The sequence below is a fragment of the Homo sapiens genome, chromosome 13, assembly GCF_000001405.40.
Source record: "Homo sapiens chromosome 13, GRCh38.p14 Primary Assembly".
NCBI lineage: Eukaryota > Metazoa > Chordata > Mammalia > Primates > Hominidae > Homo > Homo sapiens.
The window spans coordinates 27,580,651-27,598,102 of NC_000013.11; the positions used below are offsets into that span (position 1 = coordinate 27,580,651).

Consider the following 17,452-nt stretch of genomic DNA (forward strand, 5'->3'; position numbering starts at 1 on the left):
TAAATATTTAGTTTTCCAACTCCTAATTCTTGTTCAGTCTAGTCCCTGAACCCAGAATCTTTACAAGATCTTAGCAAATAAAATAATGTATTTATTTCCATATTGCAACAAAATTATCGTTTTTATTGGCTGCATAATATCCCACTGAGTTTATGTGCATAGTATTTTTTAACCCTTCCCTACTTTTAAATAACTGATTCCAATTTACCAAACTATGCACAATGTTGCACTGAACATATTTACATACAATTTTTCCTGCTTTTAGATTATTTCCTTAGGATAATAAACTAGATAAAAGGAGATTTACATTCATATAGTTTTTAAAAACAAACTGCCAAACTGCTTTATAGAAAGAATCTATCATAATATCCTGTCATCTATTTGAATATATCAGTTTCATATTACAGCAGCAGAAATATTAACAGGTATAAAACAGTACTTCCTCACTGTAGTTTTTGTATTCATGTTTTTGATAAATAATGTTAAATACTGTTCCATACAACTTATTTATTGTATCTCTTCTGTACTTGATTCACCCATTTACTTACTAGTGCTCTGGTTTGTTTTGTTTTAATCAAGTTTTTATGTTCATTTGAACCACCTTTTTCCAAAATCTGGAGTTACTTCTTTTATATTTTTTGCTTACCTGTTTTTGAGATGTGCCTCCAGATCACAACGTTGCATTACATCTTTGCACACTGAAGAAAATGGACATAAAACTAATAATTTGTCTAGGAGTTTATGAACTAGAATACTAGACTTCTTGCACAACTTAAAATGAAGTCTTTTCCGGTCCAACGGACAGAAATCTTTCTCTTGTAAAAAGTTTCTGAGGCACTTGTAGCAGAATGTATGTCCACAGGGTGTGTCTAGTGGCTGCAGCAGAGGTTGAAGGCAAATATGGCAGACTAGGTCATCATCCACTTCATTCTGGTAATTGTACAAATGGTTTTCTCTTGTCCAGTGCTGTTGGCCACATTCAAAACACAGGGGGTTTAGAGAAGAGGAGGAGGTCTGTTCCACAGACACCATCTCATCACTTGTTGTTCCCATTTTGAATCAATTCTGTATCCTCATGTGTTAGACTTCCACTTCACGCTTGGTTTCCTTTAACAGACAGTGATGTATCTGACTAAAGTCAAGGTGTGTTTTTCTAGATAAGCAAAACAAACACATTAAAAAAGGTAATTAATATCAATCAAGATAGGTTAAAAGTATCAATGTAATATTACTGGTTAGCTTTTTTTAGTAAAAAATTAAAGGTTGAATCAGGTAATAAATTAGTCATAAAAAAAGAAATTAATTTTCTAGTTGGCTAAGAAGGACTTACACTGCCAAGTTCTTTTTTATTATAAGTTTTAATTGTCTCTTTTGATTTTTTTATTTATTTGCTTTTTGAGTCAGGGTCTTGCTCTGTCACCCAGGCTGGAGTGCAGTGGTGCAATCTCAGCTCACTGCAACCTCTGCCTTCCAGGCTCAAGTGACTCTCCCATCTCAGCCTCCCGAGTAGCTGGTACTACAGGTGCACGCCACCATGTCCTGTTAATTTTTTTGTATTTTTTTGTAGAGACAGGGTTTCCATGGTGGAAAGCCCAGGGTGGTCTTGAACTCCTGGACTCAAGCAATCAGCCCTCCCAAAGTGCTAGGATTACAGGTGTGAGCCACCGTGCCTGGCTCCCACTGTCAAGTTCTTGATAAAAAAACAACTTTTGATGAAAGGTAAAGACACCATAGATTATATAGTGTGACATAAGAAACAATCGATTTGTTTTACTGACTGAAATCCCCAAATATGTCACTGTTCAATGGTAGTTTTAAAGCCAATTAATTGTGCTAATAGTAATGCTGTTTGAGGTATATAATACATTTGCATGTCATCTTAGACATGCTTCTTTGCTTCTGATTGATTTTACACATTTACAGTACAATATCAAAGATTGCGTCTTTGAAATGTAGTCTCAAGGATAATTCAGAATCAACTAACACAGGAACAGAAAACCAAACACCACATGTTCTCACTCATAAGTGGGAGTTGAACAATGAGAAGAAATGGACACAGGGAGGGGAACATCACACACCAGGGCCTGTCAGGGGATGGGGGGCTAGGGGAGGGATAGCATTAGGAGTAACACCTAATGTAGATGATGGGTTGATGGGTGCAGCAAACCACCATGGCACATGTATACCTAATGTAACAAACCTGCACGTTCTACACACGTATCCTGGAACTTAAAGTATAATAATAAAAAATGACCTTTGCTCAGCACTATGGGAAAAATGAATTTCAGCGTATGTATGATTTGAATACTCTCTCCATATGTCACACAGATTATAGAAAGATACATCTGCATAGCGTATATAAATAACAGCGCAAATGCTGCAAAGTACAATACTATTTTATTCCACTAAAAGAAAAAAACCTGCCAAAATTCAATTAAACAGATAAGATATGTTATACATTTCAATTTCACCTCATAGTATTCCATACTTCGATTTGGGCTTGCTTACTCAGAGCAGCAGTGTGTGTGTGTGTGTGTGTGTGTGTGTGTGTGTGTGTGTGTGTGTGTGTGTGTGTGTGTGTGTGTGTGTGTGTGTGTGTGTGTGTGCGCGCGTCCTCTCCAACATACTTATTTTTAAGTTCGATCTGTTGCCCGGCTGGAGTACAGCGGCGTACTTGGCTCACTGCGACCTCTGCCTCCCAGGTTCAAGCGATTCTCCTGCCTCAGCCTCCCGAGCAGCTGGGATTACAGATGCCCGCCACCACACCTGGCTAATTTTTGTAATTTTAGTAGACACGGGGTTTCACCATATTGGCCAGGCGGGTCTCAAACTGCTCACCTCAGGTGATCCACCCACCTTGGCCTCCCAAAGTGCTGATTACAGGTGTAAGCCACCATGCCCGGCCCTCCAATATAACTCTTAGAGCAGCCTCCTCCAGGGTAGCGCGAGCCTAGCCAGGAATGCTCCCCTCATCTAACGGTTTCCATCTTTCTACTGCTGAGGGATCAGGGATTAAATATTCAACTCCAAAGGCAGCAGCTCTGTATTTCTTCTTCTGTAAATATTTACATAAGAAGAGACTCTAGAATGTACCAAACGTTGAACATCGAGACAGAAGAGGTAGGGAGAGGACAGTTAAAGCCCATTATTAAAATTCAATTTAGTAAGTACTCTAAGAAAAGTTATGCACAGGGTGTTACGTGACTATGGAGAGACATGAAAAGAACTGGCATCTAACTCTGGCTTTGTGGCCGGAAATACTTTCAAAAGGGAAAAAAAAACATGGGACTGCTGAGTTGTGACAGGAAGTATCAGCCAGAGAGAAAAAATGGACAAGGGCACCTTGGGTGAAAAAAAGCATCAGCTAAGTTGCAGGGGCTTGAGGGTACACAGCACATTCAGGGAATATGAAGCAGGTAAAACTGTGCAGCAAAGAAAACACACTCAAGGGAGGGGAATTCTAGAACTTAGCGTGCCTGCCACAAGAACCTTAAGAGTAGGATACCATGTTGAGGCTACTAGCATTTCTATTTCAATAACAAAATTCTCCAATCACGTATATGTATTTGCTTATTTATTTAAAGTATTTATTGGAAAAACAACATTAAAGTAGGCCAGATGCAGAGGCTCACTGCTGTAATGCAGTGAGGGAGGAGTTTGGGAGGCTGAGGTGGGAGGACTGCTTGAGTCAGGAGTTCGAGACTAGCCTGGGCAATATGGTAGGACCCTGTCTCTACAGAAAAAAAAAAAAAAAATAGCTGAGCATGGTGGCATGTGCCTGCAGTCCCAGCTACTCAGGAGGCTGAGGTGGGACGATCCCTTGAGCCCAGGAGTGAGGCCAGCCTGGCAACATGGTGAGACCCTGTCTCCACAAAAAATAAGAAAATTAGCCAGGCGCAATGGTGCATGGCTGTAGTCCCAGTTAATTGGGAGGCTGAGGCAGGAGGACTGCTTGAGCCCAGGACTTTGAGGCTGTAGTGAGGCAAGCTTGCACCACTGCACTCCAGCCTGGGCAACAAAGCGAGACCCTGTCTCTAAATAAATAAAAATTTTAAAAGAAAAACATTAATGTTTTAACAGATTTAACAACTGTCATAAATTAGGAGGTGGTGGCATAGGATTCAGGCAGGACAGTTGGCCTCAGATAAATTGTGTTTTTAAGAACTAATAAAATAATACCAGCAAGGCTGGGCACGGTGGCTCACGCCTGTAATCTCAGCACTTTGGGAGGCTGAGGCAGGTAGATCAACTGAGGTCAGGAGTTTGAGACCAGGCTGGCCAACATGGTGAAACCTCATTGCTACTAAAAATATAAAAATTAGCCGGCTATGGTGGTGGGTGGCTGTAGTCCCAACTACTTAGGAGGCTGAGACAGGAGAATCACTTGAGCCTAGGAGGCGGCAGAGGTTACAGTGAGCAGAGATCATGCCACCGCACTCCAGCCTGGGTGACAGGGTGAGACTCGGTCTCAGAAAAAGAAAAAAAAAAAAATGGGCGAGGCACGGTGGCTCACACCTGTAATCCCAGCACTTTGGGAGGCTGAGGCGGGTGGATCACGAGGTCAGGAGATCGAGACCATCCTGGCTAACACAGTGAAACCCCGTCTCTACTATATTTTTAAATCAGCCAGGTGTGGTGGCGGGCGCCTGTAGTCCCAGCTACTCAGGAGGCTGAGGCGGGAGAATGGCATCAACCTGGGAGGCGGAGCTTGCAGTGAGCCAAGATCGCACCACTGCACTGCAGCCTGGGCAACACAGCAAGACTCTGTCTCAAAAAGGAAAAAAATAAAATAAATAAATAAATATATAAAAATAATAAAAAAAAATACTAGCAGCCTGTAATCTAAACTCCTATCAATACCAACATCAAGAAAGCAAACATTTCTCGCATTTTATAATTCATGTTCTTCTCCCTTTGAGCATCGTAACTTTTAACATGTCAGTGCAAGTACATGAGATTAAGGAGAGAAACATCCTGTATCTCAGCCAGACAGACACGTCCAAGCTAGGTATTTTAATACGGAATTTCTGCAGATTCTTGTTTCCTACCCAATAGCAAGAATTACCAATTAGCAAGAATATTCACTTATTTTTTACCCCTCTTTGTGATAGTGTTTATTCTAATTTTTCTCTTCCTCAAGAAAAATACTACAATTCTAGCCTCCCACATGATGACTAAGAAAGTATTTAAGACGATTATATTTTAGCTACTTTCTAAATCTCTAAATAACTTCAGTTCTTTATTTTCATTTTATCAAAAAACTTTTCATGAAGAAAATTAACATGTTCCCATTTAGTAACAGCGGTCTATCTCAAAGGGTCAATATAAAGAATAAGTGTATATATATACACTTATATATATATATATACTTACATACATATATATACTTATATATACATATACTTATATATATAAGGCAGTACATATATCTATATCTATATAATATCTAAGTTCAGATATATATACGTATATATATACACACATACACATATATATTGCTGTATCTGGCAAATCATAGGTGCAATGTAAGTGCTATCTATTATTAAAAATAGAGAATCAAATGTTCACACAGATTTTATTATTTGTGCAAAGCCATATAGCATATAGTTACTTAGTAAGAAAGAAGGAAGATAAACCCATTCCTTCTGGCTTTAAAATAACATGATAGGAAAGATATTCCAGGAAAGCTTTAGAGTATGAGTTTTGGAAGGAGAAAGGCATCCTGACCTCACTTCTCTAAGCCCCAATCCCACCCCTCTTCTCCCAGCTCAGGCAGATCTTTCTCTTTCTGCTTTGTGTGCAAGCTGGCTGTACTGCCTCACACTACTCTCACACTGGGGTCCCTCACTGAACTATCAGCTCTAAGAGTGAGCCTCCCACAGGGGAGGAGCTCAATAAATGTTGAATGACCAACTGGGTGACAATAATGCTTTCTTTCAGCAAGTTTAGGTGAACAAAACTACATCTATGTATACAGGAGGACATGCCCATGTTCATATATGTTTGAGTTCAGATATTATATATCTGTGAGCAGTGTGAAATACTAAAGTACAGGTTAAATAATAGTCTCAAACATTTCCTAAAATATAAAGATAAAATGTAGCATAATGTGCATCTTTTCTAACTGTATAATCTATTTAACAGTATTGCTGGAATAGTAAAGAGAAGGAAGCTGTTAGCTTGGGCGGGATTATTACAACACATTTAAAATAATATCTTGAAAAACAGCCAGTGCAATAGGAAGGGAGTTTACTACCTAATTCCAGTTAAGATTAACATGCTTGATCTTCCTGGTTTAAGGGATAAGAATATCCACAAAGACTCTCAGAAAGAACTATGGTTTTCCACCATCGGTTTGCATACTCCAAAACTATGTATTATTCAGTTCATTTCTCTCGATGTTACTCCTGACTCAGATTTAAAGGGTCTTCACTGGCCCTAACCTAAGAGATCCAGCCCAGGGAAAAAGACGATGAGCTAAGAGTTACCACTGAAGGTTAGACAGGAAGCATCTGTGGTTCCCTTAACTCATCGGTACCAGGGGTCTAAGAATACCCTACCTCTCAAGTCCCCCTGGCCCATCCTTCTCATTCCTTAGCTTCAGCTCAAATTCTGCCTCCTCCTACTCTTGAGCGCTCCCCCCCTTCCCTTCTGCTCCTGCTGCCCTTTACACATATTTTCCCTTCAGCAATTCCTACAGTGCATGTTTGCTCATCTGCCTCCCCTCCTCTTTGAGGGTAAAAATAGCCTTTTTAATCTTTTGTATTCCCACTTCTTAAGACATATTAGGCATTTAAAAAAGATTGTTCTCAGGCTCATACATGATCCTGAAATGCAAAAAGGGTCCTGATATGTATAACTATATTCATATATGAGGAAATATTGTGCATTTGTGGCACTTCAAAGGAATCAACATATGAACCCAGCCCGTTAATTTACAAATGCACAAAGAATAAGGTAATACTCCCTTTAATCTACAAAGGGGTAAGGGAAAAAAGTTTCCTTACTTGGTATCAACACAGGAAAATTTTCTCATGGTATATGTCACATATCAGCTTTGATAGCTGCTTCTGTATAAAGCAGTGCTGTCGCCAGGCGCGGTGGCTCACGCCTGTAATCCCAGCACTTTGGGAGGCCAAGGCGGGCAGATCACAAGGTCAGGAGATCAAGACCATCCTGGCTAACACAGTGAAACCCCATCTCTACTAAAAATACAAAAAATTAGCCGGGCATGGTGGCGAGTGCCTGTAGTCCCAGCTTCTCAGGAGGCTGAGGCAGAAGAATGGCGTGAGCCCTGGAGGCAGAGCTTGCAGTAAGCCGAGATGGCGCCACTTCACTCCAGTCTGGGCAAGAGTGCGAGACTCTTGTCACAAAAAAAAAAAAAAAAAAAAAAAAAAAAAGCAGTGCTGTCAAACTTGTTTGACTTCAGAACCCTTTTATCCACTCTGGACAAGTTTGGCAGTTTCCTTAAAAAATTCATGCAACTACCATATAATCCAGCAACTATACCTTTAAGCATTTATCCCAGAGAGGTGAAAACTTACATTCACACAAAAACTTGTGCACGAATGTTTCTAGCAACTTTTATTTGTAGTAGCCAGAAACTACAAAACAACTCAGATGTACTTCCACTGATGAATGGGTAAACAAATTGTGGCACATCTATACCACAGAGTTTTACTCAGCGATAAAAAGGAATGAACTATTAACCTCTATGAACAACAACCTCTATGAATCTCCAGAAGATTATGAGCGAAAAAAGCCAATGCTAAAAAGCTGCATACTGTATTGTTCCATGCATATAACATTCTTGAAATGACAAAATTATAGAAATGGATTAGAGGTTGCCAAGGATCAAGAAGGGTTAGGGGCAAATAATAGGGCAACACAAGGGGTTATGTGACAACGGAAATTGTATCAATGCCAATATCCTGGTTATGATACTGTACTATAGTTCTGCAAAATGCTACTATTGGGGGGAACTGGATAAAGGGTACATGGGATCTCTCTGTATTATTTCTTCTTACAACTGTATATGAATCTACAATTATCACAAAATAAAAAGTTTAATTAAAAAATTACTGAAGCTCCCAAACAGCTTTTATCTGTCTGTATTCATTATGTTAGTAATGAAAATTCAAATATCCATGTTAATAAAAAAAACAAACCCAGTAGATTAACATTTTTATGGAAAATAACTTTTTTCAAAGTAAAAAACATAGAAGAAATATATTATTTTACATGTTTGTTAATCTGGAGTCTCATATATGTTTCTGTTTTTAATCTGTCATGAGCTCACATGTGAGGTCTGGAAAATTCTACTAGACACTTGTGCCAAAAAGAGTGAGAAAGGCATTGTGAAAACAGTTTTGACCCTGTGGATTCAATGAAAGAAAAGGGGGTAAATGACTGATATACAGCATCGAAGAGTTCTAAAACCCTTCTTTCACAAGAAGTACCGGTCAATAACCAACAATCCTTTTGGAAAAGCAAAAACTAAAAATGGAAAAATGCTTGATTGAGCCTTGCTATAGGAGTCTGTCTTTCCCGGAATAAAGTTCTTTCCCCAGAGCCTCTTCCTACTGGAAGAAGCATATCTGGATATTTAGCTGCATAGAAATATTTACCGTATCATATGGGAGCTTCACATAAATTTTATTCTATAAACTACTGGCTATAACTATAATCTACTGGCTTTGCTTAAATAGTAATTAATCACATACACACACAGAGGGAGTTTGAATTTATCTCTAAAACACGATTCTGTATCTGTTTATATATAATAAAACACTTATTGGTATATTTACCTTTTAGTCTCAGTATTTGTTCATTTTTATTTTTTGATAACTTTAATCTTTTAAATATTCTATATAAGGGAGGTCAAATTGTGGCTAATAGAAAATTTAAAATTTTAAACCCCCTTCACCTTTAGTTCTCCTAATTTTGAAATTCTCCTAAACCATGATGAAAAAGGTTTTTTTAGTGCAAAGTGATCAAGGCAAAAACCAAACTGGGTTACCTGCCTGATTCCTACACTGAAGACAGTTATACTAAAGTTATACTTTCAAAGGTTACTCTAAATCATGTTACCTTAATTTGGAAACAGAATTTACATAAAATTATTTCAAAAAGGAAATATATTAAATATCATGCTAAACCTTTCCAGTAACATCTAGGTGAACCTCTGCCAATAAGACCGCTGTGGAAAGAACTTTGCTCCAACAAGAAAGACTTCTCCAGCACCTCCAACACGTGGGCTTTCTTCATTAACAGCAGTCTTCACCAGCCAGCTGAGTTGGGGCAATTTTTATTTTTTTGAGACGGAGTCTCGCTCTGTCACCCAGGCTGGAGTGCAGTAGCATGATCTCGGCTCACTGCAAGCTCCGCCTCCCGGGTTCATGCCATTCTCCTGCCTCGGCCTCCCCAGTAGCTGGGATTACAGGCGCCCACCACCACCCCCGGCTAATTTTTTTGTATTTTTAGTAGAGACGGGGTTTCACCATGTTAGCCAGGTTTCACATGTTAGCCAAAAGTGCTATTTAGGAGATGCTGCTGCATCTATGGTTGGTTTTTTATTTTTATTTTTATTATTTATTTATTTATTTTTTGAGTCTCACCCTGTTGCCCAGGCTGGAATGCAGTGGTGCAATCTCGGCTCACTGCAAACTCTGCTCACTGCAACCTCTGCCTCCTGAGCAGCTGGGATTACAGGCACATGCCACCATGCGTGGCTAATTTTTATATTTTTAGTAGAGATGGGTTTTCGCTATGTTGGTCAGGCTGGTCTCGAACCCCTGACCTCAAGTGATCTGCCCGCCTCGGCCTCCCACGGCCTCCGAAAGTGCTGGGGTTACAGGCGTCAGCCACCATCCCCAGCCCGGTTTTTTTTTTTAAGGCAAGCACAGGTAAATGTTAGCAGCATAGATGGCTTTAGTACTAACCCAGATGTTAGTAAATAGGTGGTTTTAGATAGCAGATTTTGCCCCAGAGCCAATCTTATACTTTTTCATAAAAAATATCTAAAGCTACAGAAGAAACTTGTCAGTCCTATTTTCTCCAATAAATGCAAAAGAATCGGGTGGATACTGCTATTCTGTGATCAACCTATGCAATAAGGTAAAGGAAATAGAACTAAAATAATATCATGGTGATATTACTAATAAAGATTCCCAGGCTTCATTATCTTAACTAAGAACAAGATATAAGAAATTTAAATGTTGCAGCTTTCAAAGCTAATCAGTGACACCAATAATTTAAAAAGCATATTTAGGATGTTCAATTTGCTCTACTTATAACTTTATATATGTATTATAAAGTGTATATATACATATATATGTGTGTGTGTATATATATGTGTGTGTACACACACACATATACATATATACCATCAGATTAAGAATAACTTTGGGTCAGACCTTGAAGAGCCATATTTGTGCTTTCTCAAGGCCAGACTAAATAGACAATGGCCTCAGGGGCAGGGACCAGAGCCTTGTTGGCCTTGATGTTTACACAGAATGATTCCCATGTGCTGACACAATGTCTTCTAATTTACTTAAGTTACAGTTCTAACACTGAGAAAACTTAAAAGAAAGAAAATACATTGTAATTCATTACAGATTCATATATATCAAATATCCCTGCAAAATACAAATGCATAATGTTACATGATTCAAATATTAATAAAATATTTGCACTGTAAAGCCAGAACTATAAAGAGGCTGTACTATATGAAGCCCCTAGGATGATCAACAATGCACCTCCAATTATATTAGTTTCCTGTGTTTCCAAAACGGATTCAAACAAAATCCCAGGTTTCACATGTTAAGTTGCTATTACCTGCCTTTCTGACATCTCCACTAGGGAGTGAACTTTCACAAACCAACTATATTGAAAAGCAAACTAATTATTCTTTTCCCTAACCTCAAATCTGACCTCCCATTCTTTTTCCTGTCTGTTCGTCCATCCATCTAGGATTTATTGAGAATCTCCTATGTGCCAGACACTACTGTTCCAGGGTTAGGAGTTGAGCACTGAACAGACAAAAATCCCTGCCCTTGTGAAGTTAACAGGGGGAGAGGGTGGAGGATAGACAACATATAAGAAGAAATGAAATGCAGTATTTTAGACGCTGAAAAGTTTTACAGAGCAAAGGAAAGCAAGGCAGGGAAGTCACAGTACTGGGAGGACAGCTATTTTAAACAGCATGATCAAGGAAGAACTCACTGAGAAGGTGGCATTTGAATTTAAAACCAAAAAGAAGTAACTAGAAAGCCATGCAGGTATCTGGTGTAAAAATGTCTGTTACAGGCAAATGAAACAATAAGTACAATGGCCTTGAGGCGAGAATGTCCCTGGTGTGTTCAATGAACAGTAAGGAGGCCAGCATAGATAAAATGAGGAAAGTTCAGAGAAGACATCAGAATGGTTACTGGGCTAACTAAATCTTGTAGGGCCTAAAAAACTTTGGTTTTTACTCTGAGTCAGATTTTAACAGATCATTGGCTGCTATGTTGAAAATAATCTGAAGGGCTCAAAGGCAGAAGCAATTAAAAGCCTACTGAAATATTCTGAGCCACAGATGATGGTAGATTGAACATGATGAACATAGTTGAGATAGAGAGAAATTACTCAATTTTAGATATATTCTGAAGGTAGAACCAATACAGTTTGCTGATTAATAAAATGTGTTCATGGGCTGATGGGAGGGGGGAAAGTCAAGGATGACACCAAGATTTTTGATCTGAGCAACTGGAAAGATGGGGTTAGCATAACTGAGATGCACAAGTCTGTAAGAGAGCAGGTTTAATGGGTATGCTCAAGCTGGAATATGTAAAATTTGGACTGCCTGTTAGATTTCTAAGAAGAGACACTGAATAGACAGTTGCACACACAAGTCCAGTTCAAAGACAAGGAATGGGAAGATGATATAAATTAGGAAACACTGGTGTAAAGATGGTATGGAAAGCCATCAGATTGGAAAAGATCACTAAAAGTGTAGATGAGTGTAAGCAGCAAAGAGAAGGGCTGATTCAGGACTCCACCTTGGCACCTTTCTGGGGGACGAAGAGGACCAGGCAGAGGAGGAGTGTCCACTGTGATTGGACGAAAATTAAGAGAGAATTGTACAGAGAAAGCAGATAAAGAAAAGTGTTCCGAGGAAGAAGAAATAATCAACTGTGTCAAATCCTGTAAGCAAGTAAAATAAGATTAGGACTGAGAATTAAGCACTGGATTTAGCAGCATGAATTCATTGGTGACCTTGATAGAGTTTTGGTGGAGACAGCAGAAGCCTCCTGGAATGAGTTCAAGTGAGAATTGGAAGGAAGGAGTTAAGAGCATAGACAATTCTTTTGAGAAAATATGCTAAATGAAAAGGGGAAATTTGTATCTTGGTAGGAAGTGAAACAATCAGAGGTGATAGCATTCCACCCCATTAACAAAACATTTTTCACCCCCATGTTTACAGGTTTATGATTTGCATCTGTCTACATCCTTTCTTCTTTTGCCATATCTCTCCCTCTCCTTTCTAAAAGCTAGTTTCTCCTCCACCTGGGTTCATCCCTTTGGAAGCCTTTGTCATTTATCTCATCTTCTTCCAATCTCTTTCTCCCCATCACGTACAAAAACATTCATGTCTTATCAACTTTAAAAATAAAAACAAATCATTCTTCTACAATGGTTACCCTTTCCCTCACCTCCATTTCATCTCCAATAGTTTTGAAAAATACCATGCTGCAGTTGTCAACTCCTTACCTAAAAGGGCTTCTACCTCCATCAGCCACAGAGACTAGTTTCACTGTGGTTATGAATGTCTAACTGCTAAACCTAATGCCAGTCTCAGACCCTCATACTACTTTATCTCTCTTCAATATCACTAACGTCTCTCTCCTTGAAACTCTTTGCTGGCTGAAACTTTTTTTTTTTTTTTTTTTTTGAGATGAAGTTTCACTCTTGTTGCTCAGGCTGGAGTGCAATGGTGCAATCCTGGCTCACTGCAACCTCCGCCTCCTGGGTTCAAGCGATTCTCCTGCCTCAGCCTCCTGTGTAGCTGGGATTACAGGCGCCCACCACCACGCCTGGTTTTTGTGTGTGTGTGTGTGTGTGTTCTTTTTTTTTTTTTTTTTAAGTAGGGACAAGGTTTCACCTTGTTGGTCAGGCTGGTTTCAAACTCCTGACCTCAAGCGATCTGCCTGCCTCTGCCTCCCAAAGTGCTGGGATTACAGGTGTGAGCCACCACGCCCAGTCTGCTGGCTGAAATTATACCATTCTTGTTCTTGTTCTCATCCTATCACTCTTTTGTAACAGCTGTCCAATTACTTCCTTTATACAAACCCCAAAAAAGTCAAACTGTTGGACCAAAGTGAAAGGAAGACTTCTGATTTACATTATAAAACTGCCCTCCAAAATGGTGAACAAAATTTGGACTCCTACTAGCAATGTATAAATATACTAACTTTTTCAAAATTGTTCTAAGCCTAGTCAATTTTCTTTTAATATTTATAAATTTTATAGTTGAAAATATTTCATTGTTCTTTTAATTTGCATCTTTTTTAGTCCAGCTAAATTAAACATATGATTATTATCCTTAGTTATCTTGTGAAGTGTCTGTTTATAACCTTAGCCCCAGTTTTTTCTTATTGAATTGTACTGTTTTTCTTATCAATTGATTTGAACTCAACATATTAAGACAGCAACCCTTTATCACATTATTATAATCACCTCTCCCAAGCCTCCTGTTTGCCTTTTAGTTGTCTACCAGCATAAAGATGCTGTCAATTTTCATGTAATTGAATACACTCACTTTTCCCTTTGAGAGTTCTTCCACCACTCTTATCTTCTTCTTCATAATGAGATAAAGATTTGCCTCTATTTTCTTCATTTGTATAGTTCATTTGTATAATAAAATTTTTTTTATTATCACTTTATTCTGGTTAGTATGCAGTATGAGAATAGATCTAACTTTATTTTTCTCCCAGTTGTTACAGTATATCTGCCTCACACTTGTGTTCAAAAACTAGGTCTTTATTCCCCTCTAAATGATCCGCTTCCTCAAGGCACGCCTATATTCCCAGTATCACATAATTAGAACCAGAGGATCCTCCCGTTTCTCTTTCTCACTCCCTGCCTCATTTTCCATACCTAGGCACCAAGTTCCCCTCGATTCCACCTCCAGAATGTGGCCTCCCCTTTCTTCCATTCCCACCACCTCTCTCAGTTATTTGTTGCACCTACTCTTTTAGCAAACGCAGAAGGTTTTCCCGTCTTTTTTCTGTCCTACCTTCCGTCACAACACTAGTATCCAAAAAGCCATGATACTATTTTCCCTGCCTGAATACTCTTCTGTGGTCCCCAACTGCTTCTACAAAATTAAAGCCAAATTATTCAACCTTGCAATTAAACCTTCCCAGATCTGACTCTAGTTTCACTTTCTGACACAATTCTACACATTTGTGCTTTGGCCACACCAAATTATTTACAACTTCCTGACCACAGCATCCTCTTTCCTGCCTGGAATGTCCTTTCCTACCTTGGGTATCTGCAGAACCCCCATCCATTTAGTGGTCAGCTCAAGTAAACACTCTGCTGTGAAGCTCTACCCAATCCACCCAAACACAAGCTCTCACTATGTCCCTTCCACTGCCACTTATCACAGTTATCATGCACCTCACTGCAGTGGTTTGCAATCACTTGTTTGCATGTGTCTTCCCTACAGACTGAACAGCCATTAGAAGGCAGAAACCAAGTCTTAGTTGTTCATCTCTATACCCCCATGCCTGACATGAGTATGTGGTTAATAATAAACCTGAGGAAAGGGAATATGAATGAACAAATGTGTCAACTTTTACCTGCCTTACCAATCCTACCAATTTTGTCTCTAGAATTCTTATTCCCACGACCTCTGCTCTAATTCAGATTCCTACTACTTCCTGATAATCTTCTAATTGCCTCTAATTTCACTTCCTCATCACAAAAGGTGATCTCTTAACAAATAACTAAGATTCTATCATATCTGTCTCTATGTCCACCTGTAAACCCGAAAACCCTGTGTCCTAGCCAGCTGTCACTTCAAACCATTCATCTAAACCATTCAAATCTCTCTGTTTCCAATATTTGTTAGTCTGTCTCTTGTACCTGGATATTATCTTCTACTTTTCAGTTTCTCTGCCACCTCCCCTAATGGTATTTGTCACTTGTTACTTCATCCTCTTTTCTCCCTGGCCCCCAACAACATACTTAGAGCTGTTGCTGCTAATCTGCTGTAGGCTGAGTATTCAGATACTCAAACTTATTAGGAACCATATGCTAAGACGAAGCCAACACTGAGGCTCAGAAAAGGAACAAGTAGGTGGCTTCAGTGCAGGGTATTAAACACACGTATCTATGGTGCTCAACTATCTTTTCCATGTACAGCTGACCCTTGAACAATACAGGCTTGAACTGCATGGGTTCACTCATATGTGGATTTTTTTCAATGAATTTATTAGAAAATTATTTGGAGATCTGTGACAATTTGAAAAAACGCACAGATGAACAGTATAGCCTAGAGATACTGAAAAAATTAAGAAAAAGTTAGGTATGTCAAGAATGCATAAAATATATGCACATTTTGTCATTTACTACCATAAAACATATAAAAACTATAAAAAGTTAAAACCCATCAAAACGTATACACACAAACTGTACATGGCACCATTCACAATTGAGTGAGATGTAAACAAATATACAGTATTAAATTACAATTGTTTACAGATTCATCATTTATTATAAACCGTGTTTCTAACAAAGCCAAATCACCGTTATTTCTAAAACAAATTATAACAGAAAAGATGGTGAACAGGAAAGGATCCCATGGAGATGTATGTTAAACATACACATACCGCCAGCCCTAGACCAATTCCATTTCACAAATTTTATTTTGTTATTTTCTTAACTTTTTCTCTTTTTCTTCATTCTTCCCTTCCTCCGTTTCAATATTACATTCTTTACTCTTACCCACCTTTCCAAACAAAATCTTTCCAAATAAAATCTTTCACAAAATCTGTAAGAAAATCTCAATCAAGTGATCTGCACATGATTTATGAAAATATACCTTTGTCTAAGGACATTTGTACATGAAAAGAGAAAAAGCTAAACATTAAAGGAATGACTCTTTAAGACACTGACAAGGAAATACAATTGAATAGAGCCAACATAACAAAGAGGCTTTCTCAGTCTACTCCCAATGTCATAACATACAGATAAATGTCTCTGTAAAGTTTAACCCACCTGCATAAGTGTCTAATAGAGAGTGCTTCTCTGAAGGTTGCCTTCCACATCTAAGCAGGCATTTTCCCCTCAAAAATATAAGGCTTCTGTTAGCCTCCCTGTTTTCTCTAGTCTCAATCATAAACTTCTTTATCATTAGATTACTACTACAGGGAAAAACCTCTAAGGCCTATCCTTATCAGAAATCAAAACCTCTAAGGCCTATCCTTATCAGAGATCAATCTGTCCTTTTGTAGATGGCTAACTTCATTGAAACCATATCTTCCTAATTTCACAATAAAAACGGCACTCAATATTTTGAGAAACACAGCAGTTTATAAGTCCTGCTATGACATATAGGAGAGGCAGACATCCAATATAAGGATATCTGGGTCAAGTGGAATAAAAGAAGCAAAGTGTTATGCAAGTATAGGTGGAAAAGAGTAATTTCTATTGCAATAATTGGGAAAAGTTTCTTGGAGAAGTACACGGGCTCAGAAACAATACGAGGACTCTCAATGGACAGTTATGGGGAACAAGGAACAACAGCTTTAAAAATTGATATTTCAGAAATAGTTGATGCACTCTATGTGGGTATATGCATGTAACGGGGGTGGATGGACAGAAAAGAGAGTCTGAGGGCTGGACTAGGTACAGAGAGAAAGCAAGGGTTCCTGAGTCAAATGATGTGACTAGACCCATGTGTCTGGGTAGGTAACTCTGGCAGCAGAGTTATGGCAATAATGAAGGGGGGTAAAACAAAAAGTTACTGCAATGGCCAAGATGACTGGTAATGAGAGCTTGAATTAAGGGAATGACTATGAACAGTCAAAGGAGGAATGGATTTGAGCAACATTTTAGGATACAAAAGTTTTAAAAGAGAGAAAGAAGAAAAGCGGGTAAGAAAAGGTGTTAGCATACCATAACCAGCATAGACATATCAAAGAAAAGAGAATTATAAGGGAACTTTCTTCATATTTCCCATCAAAATATCCCTATATTCCTTACAATTCAAAAGTAGTTTCTCATAAATATAAGAATTTCCTGGTATCTCCAAAAAGCCAAAATTTGATAATCCATTTACTATTTTACTCTATAAACTGTACTGTTGAGAAATAAAATGTCTTTCAATTTACAACAAATGTCCATTATCAGCAGGAGTTGCAGCCTCAGGCCCTAGCCTTCTGCTTTGAAAAACTGGGGCACT

General features: G+C 38.6%; 1 protein-coding gene across 9 annotated transcripts in view; it reads right to left on the reverse strand.

Annotated features, from left to right (window-relative positions):
- LNX2 (ligand of numb-protein X 2) overlaps positions 1–17,452 on the reverse strand; it is a 75,195-nt gene that overhangs the window by 34,738 nt on the left and 23,005 nt on the right. For all 9 annotated transcript variants that reach the window (XM_017020434.2, XM_011534995.3, NM_153371.4 and 6 more), the window contains one exon: positions 647–1,153. In XM_017020434.2, the coding sequence (XP_016875923.1) occupies positions 647–1,053 (407 nt within the window). In that variant the 5' untranslated portion in view covers positions 1,054–1,153. The remainder of the gene's footprint in view (positions 1–646; positions 1,154–17,452) is intronic.